General features: G+C 61.7%; 2 annotated features.

Moving 5' to 3' along the window:
- Window positions 1-562: an enhancer, noted in NCBI's record as "H3K27ac-H3K4me1 hESC enhancer chr22:49697353-49697914 (GRCh37/hg19 assembly coordinates)". NCBI's record gives its function as "activates a minimal SCP1, AML or CMV promoter by ChIP-STARR-seq in naive and primed H9 embryonic stem cells {active_cell/tissue: H9 hESC(naive and primed)}" and the evidence as "EXISTENCE:reporter gene assay evidence [ECO:0000049][PMID:30033119]".
- Window positions 2,852-3,545: an enhancer, noted in NCBI's record as "H3K27ac-H3K4me1 hESC enhancer chr22:49700204-49700897 (GRCh37/hg19 assembly coordinates)". NCBI's record gives its function as "activates a minimal SCP1, AML or CMV promoter by ChIP-STARR-seq in naive H9 embryonic stem cells {active_cell/tissue: H9 hESC(naive)}" and the evidence as "EXISTENCE:reporter gene assay evidence [ECO:0000049][PMID:30033119]".

Consider the following 5,973-nt stretch of genomic DNA (forward strand, 5'->3'; position numbering starts at 1 on the left):
GACCTGCCCAGGTATGCAAAGAGAGCGCAGATCCCCTCGGTGAGGCTGCAGGCAGGCTCTTCCCGAAGCTGCTTCTGTTCACACATGTGCTTCCAAACTCTCCCACTTCTCAGGAAACTCCCCTAATTGTGCCTGTGGGTCCAGGACACTGTCCCATGAGGGGGCCATGGCAGGGTCTCCCCGGACGGTATGACTCCAGGAGCCTCCTCCACCGTCCTCACCAGCCACGCTGCACACGGCCCGGCCTGACCAGGTCGGCCAACAGGTCCTCCCCGTGGGGCTGCCTAATGTCCATGGAAAGGGACAGGCCAGGCAGGCGTCGCTGGGGAAGTGAAAAGGCCCTCGAGGCTCAGACTGGGCCCCCGGCATCTCCACGGGCTTCCATGAGAGCCCACATCATACAAGGGACGCGTGGGTGCGGGCAAAGTACACATGAATTCTCCCCGTGGCGGGGCCGGCGGGCGTTGCAGACAGAGACCCCACTGGCAAGGCCCGGAGGTGGGAAAGACTTCAGCTCAGGACACCAGCGCGGGGTCACCTCTGGAGGAGGGGGCGGCGCCTGCAGCTTTGCCTTAGCAGCGAGCAGCAGGGCTCCGAGAACCCCTGGGCCAGGTGTACCTTGCAGAGGGCGGCCTCTGCCCCGCTGTGGGGAGACAACCCCTGCCCAGGAGGTGGCTGGTGCTGAGGCCCAGAAAGCGCCCCGTCATCACGGCTGCCCCAGGCTGCAGCACTGCAAGGGCAAGGGGAGGTTTGGGGCCGGAGTCTGCAGGCTCGTCCTCATGGCGAGCGCTGAGCTGGGCCTCTCCGCGCTTTGGCTGGAAGCGCACGAACACCCTCCAGGGTCTTCAGAAGTCCGTCAGCTGGGAGGAGCGGGCAGCTCCAAGGCCTCAGATTCAGAGACCCTGGGCTGGGTCTTTCGTCTTCCTCTTTCCTGGGAAACCATCTGCCTTCCCTGGGCTCCTGCTTATCACCTGCAAAGTGAAGATAATGTCTTTCTCCTGAGGTTGTTTTGAGAATAAAACCAGGAAGCATGGAAGCATCTGTCCAGCACACAGGACACCCATGCGTGTTTATCATCCGGCACACGGGAGACCCACGCGTGTTTACTGTCGGGCACAGGGGAGACCCACGCGTGTTTACTGTTCGGCACACGAGAGACCCACGCGTGTTTACCGTTTGGCACAGGGAGACCCACGCGTGTTTACTGTCCGGCACAGGGGAGACCCACGCGTGTTTACTGTCCGGCACAGGGAGACCCACGCGTGTTTACTGTCCGGCACAGGGGAGACCCACGTGTGTTTACTGTCCGGCACAGGGAAGACCCACGTGTGTTTACTGTCCGGCACACAGGAGACCCACACGGGGCCTGTTTACCATCCGGCACACAGGAGGCCCATGCATCTTTACCGTCAGGCACACGGGAAACCCACGCGTGTTTACCGTCCGGCACAGGGAAGACCCACATGTGTTTACTGTCCAGCACATGGGAGACCCACGCGTGTTTCCTGTAAGGACCGTGAAGCAGGGAGCACTTTGCCCCCACAGACAGAGGTAAAAGCTGCCACAGACCAGCTCATGCGAAACATGTAATTGTAAAACCCCAGGAAAGGAAGCCCAGCTTGGAAGGCAGAGCGGGCTGGGATTTGTGATCCCCGCGCATCTGAGAGGTCTGTTTCTGGAGGGAAACGCAGTGAATGAAGAGTGACTATCTGTAGATTGGAGGCCATTTGCTCTCTCCTGGAGGATGGTGGAAATGGGCAGGCGGGGCTTGCCGGGCCTGGGGGCTGCAGGGTGGCGGCCTCGTTAGGTGCTGTCTGTCCACAGCGGGAATGGACGTGAAGGGAATGAGATGACTGAGCCACCGACCCTGGGGAGGGCCTCCCAGAGGCACAGAAGTCCCCTGGGAAGCTCATCACTCCTCCAGGCAATTAGGGAAGAGTCAGGCTGGGTGGAACAAGCAATTAATTACCTCCACCTTTGGGAGAAATGGAAGTCTGAGGGTCTAGCCAGGCCAGATGCAACGGCTTCACTGAAAAATGCAGCGCAAGAAGCTGCTGGACTGAAGTGGGCAGGAGACAGGGTCCACGGGAGGTGGGGTGAGCGTGGGTGGCGGTGCCGGGAGGTGGCAGTGAGGAAGGGGAGGGCTCAGCCCTGACCTCAGGCTCTCCAGTACATGGGGCACCGTGGGGAGCAGCTGTTCCCCTGCTCCAGGGTCTGCTGGAGAGACCTGAGTTGTGTGCCAGGACCTGGGGCAGAGAGGGAGGAGATGGGAAGAGGGGCCCAGGGCAGAGGCATGGGTGCAGCTTCATGAGGCCTGGAATCCACCAGGAAGGAGAGGAGAATGTGCACAGCCACGCACACAGGTGCACACAGTCACGCACACAGGCAAGCACACAGGTGCACACAGGCACACACGGTCCCAGACACCCAAGGGAGAGGCAATGGCCTCTCCCTGCAGCCCATGTGTCCTCCTGCCCGCCAGGCCCAGGCTGGCCCCAAGAAGGGTCAACGCTGCCACGGTGAGTGTCCTCCCACGGCTTTGTGCCAGGCTGCGGACGGCTGTCTGTGGAGGGCGGGGATGCGGTGCACCCTGGGGTACACAGGGTGTGGCACAGAGGTCACTGTGCTGTGTGGACAGGACAGGGGCCGAAGATGGGCCTGAACATCACTGTTGCAGCCCTAGGTGAAGTGGGCTGAGGGAATGCAGGCCTGGACAGGGACAGGGAGAGACCCCGACCTGGCCATGCCACAGGAGGGTGGAGGGACGCTGGGCTCTGCCAATCCACCCATCTCGGGGGCAGGGGTTAGGACCTGGAGGGACGGAGACAACACCAACTAGGGGCTGTGGGAGATGCGGCTTGGGTGGACGAAGGGCTGTGCGAGACAGCATGAAGCCAAGATGCCCAAGGAAAAGTGGACGGTGTTGGGGGAAACGAGGCCCAGCAGGGTGGAGCTCCCAGCAAAGCACAGGCTGGAGGGGCAGAGCTAGGAGAGGAGACCCCAGAGCCCAGCCCTGCCTCCCGGCCACAGGCAGCACTTCAACCCAATCACCACACTGTGCAGATTCATTGTAGGGAAACCAGAAAATTCTGCTTAGTATAGAAGGAAAAGCAGAACCCCCACCCCCATCACAGGCCCTCAGCGGTGGAGGGGACATTGCTCCAGGCCATCAGCGGTGGAGGGGAACATTGCTACCCAAGTGGAAACAGTAAGCCCATCCTGGGCACAGACAGCACAGTGCCCACCCCGAGCAACCTCCCTGGGCTGTGGCTGCAGAATGACCCGAGGCCCAGGCAGTGCAGCCCAGTCTCACCTCTGCACGCAGCTCCCAAGGGACCCCAAGAAGGCCGGTTCCATAAAACCAGCACAGGTGTAATCCCAGCTACTTAGGAGGCTGAGGCAGGAGAATGGTGTGAACCCGGGAGGCGGAGCTTGCAGTGAGCCGAAATAGCGCCACTGCAGTCCGGCCTGGGCGAAAGACCAAGACTCCGTCTCAAAAAAAAAGCAGCACAGGGCAGGGCAGGGGACCTCATCACGCAGCTGCCCATCCTGGGCTTGCTGAGGCGTTGCAGCAAGGCCTGGTGTCCAGCTCTCATGTCTTCTGCCCCTCGGACAGCAGGGCTCTCGGCACCCAGGTCCCCACTGCAGGAGCCCGGGAGGTGCCTCCAGGCCCTGTTTGCAGAAGACAGCAGGACCTGGGGAGGGCCTGAGAATCCGGGTGAGCCTGCCGGCCAGCCAGCCCCCTGACACCGTTTGCAGCCCAGAGAGCCCCAGCCCAGTGCGATTCTGGAAGCTCCTCACTCCTTGGCCCCTCTGCCCCCTCAGCCAGGGGCTGCAGCCGCTCTCAGCAAATGAACCCCATGGAGCTGGTCCGGCCACTCCGAAGCTGCCAGCTCAGCCAGCGCTGGCCAACAGTGCCCCCTGGTGGCTGCTGCCGCCTCTGCCGCCGGGGTCCCACCCTGGGTCTGGCCTGGGGTGGACACGGGCAGTGGACTCAAGGGATCCCAGGGCCCACCTGCAGGAGCTGAGGAGGCCGGGTCTGCATCCGCATGCCCGTGGGCCCGTCGTGGGCCCGTCGTGGGCCCGTGGCCACCCCTGCATCCTGTGTCCCACCCCAGGGCTGCAGCAGCTTCTCTGAGTCTCAGGCACAGATGGAGTTGGGCCCCAATAGATGGGCCTAGGGAAGGCTTCCTGGAGGAGGTGACGCCCAGCTGAGGCTGTGAGGCATTGATGGTGCTGGACAACCCCAGGTGAGGTGGGGGAGGACCTGGCTGCCTCTGATGGAGGAATCGGGACCTGTCAGTCCAGAGGAGGGCTCAGCACCAGTGGAAAGGGAAGTGGTGGCTGAGAAAGGGGCAGGATCAGAAAGAGGGAGCCCAGGCTCTGAGCTGGACCCTCTTGTTACCACGTGACCTGGCAAGTTGTGTGACCACTCTGGGACTTGATAAGAAGATGCAGAGCCCCCTGGCTCTGCCACAGGGGCTGTGTGAAATACACAGCACCTTCCTGGGGATACTGCCAGGTGTACAGACAGCGCTCAATAAAGAGTGACCCTTGGAGCTGATGGACTTCATTCCTAATGAAGGAGCCACCGTGGTGGAGTTAGCAAGGCATGGGCAGCTTTTGCAGAGCAGCCCTGGTGCCACTGGGAGTGGGTTTTGGGAGGTCACAGGCTTAGCAGATGCAGAGGCCAGGAAGACGGACAAGGCCACGAGGCCTCAGGGGCAGGAGGCACAGGAGGGTCAGAATGAGGCAGCAGGGGCGGCAGGAGGCACAGGAGGGTCAGAATGAGGCAGCAGGGGCGGCAGGAGGCACAGGAGGGTCAGAATGAGGCAGCAGGGGTGGCAGGACCCACAGCCCCTCTGGGGATTAGGCAGGAGGGAGGCGGGGTGATGTCCAGCGCTCGCTCCCAGGTGGTGGCTCCCGGGCACCAGCGGGTCTGTACCTACATCGAGGGGTTTTAAACTTCACTTTCTTTTTGAAAGTCTCTCTATAGAGCATGAGTGGAAGTGCCTGTGAAACCCAACGCCTGGAATTCCGCTCCTGTGATGCCCACATCCCTGTTCTGGTTTGCCGACTGTCCAGCGGTGAAAGGTGAGACGTGAGCATCGGGGAAGCTGCCTGAGGGCTGCGGGGACTCTGCAAACTTTCTGTAAATCTAAAATTATTCCAAGAGAAAAAGCCTATTTAAAAAAAAAAAAAATCACCCACACTGACCCAGCAGCCTTCGGTGTGCCTGGGTGCACCTGTGCCTCCCCGGAGCACCCACAGCTGGGCCGGCCCCACCCCCCACATGCCAAGACCCCTGTGGTTTCTCCTTCCATCCTCACTGCCAAGCCAGAACCCCGACCCTGCAGCGTCTCCCGCCCTCCACTCTTGCCTCTCCCTCTGCTCGGGGCCCCCGAAGCCCCTCTTTCTGCCCACCCCCGGCAGACTCGAACCCCTGCAGACGTGAGGCCAGGGCTGCTGTGAGCCCCTGTGAGGAGGAGCCCCGGGCACAGCCTGCACTGCCTGGGCCTGGCTCATCCCGCATCACTGCTCTCCCCGGCTCCAGCTCTGCACAGAGTATTTAATAAATGTTTAATAGCAACAATAAAAGATCAACTTGGCACAACTGAAGATTTTTGTTCAGGGACTTGGGGCTGTGCTCTGGGTCAGAAATAAAATGCGTCCTGGCAGAGCGGCAGTGAGGCCAGGGCCAAGGGGGCCGTTTCAAGCGCCTTGTTAGCTCAGGGAAGGGACCGGGAATTGGAACGACCCCAACTGGCCCCTTCGTCCCTCCTGGAGCAGCGCTCCCTGCATAGCACCACGAGGACCCTGGCTCCGGGCAGCCCTGGGCTGGGGCAGAGCCGGCCCCTCCCTGACTCAGCTAGGGCCCCACATAGCAGGGGACGATGATGTGACACAGCGGCAAGGCAGGGAGAGGAGGGCTCAGCCCTGTGTCCACCAGGACACCAGGCTCAGCAGAGGGGG

This window comes from Homo sapiens, chromosome 22 (assembly GCF_000001405.40).
Source record: "Homo sapiens chromosome 22, GRCh38.p14 Primary Assembly".
In the NCBI taxonomy this organism is placed as follows: Eukaryota; Metazoa; Chordata; class Mammalia; order Primates; family Hominidae; genus Homo; species Homo sapiens.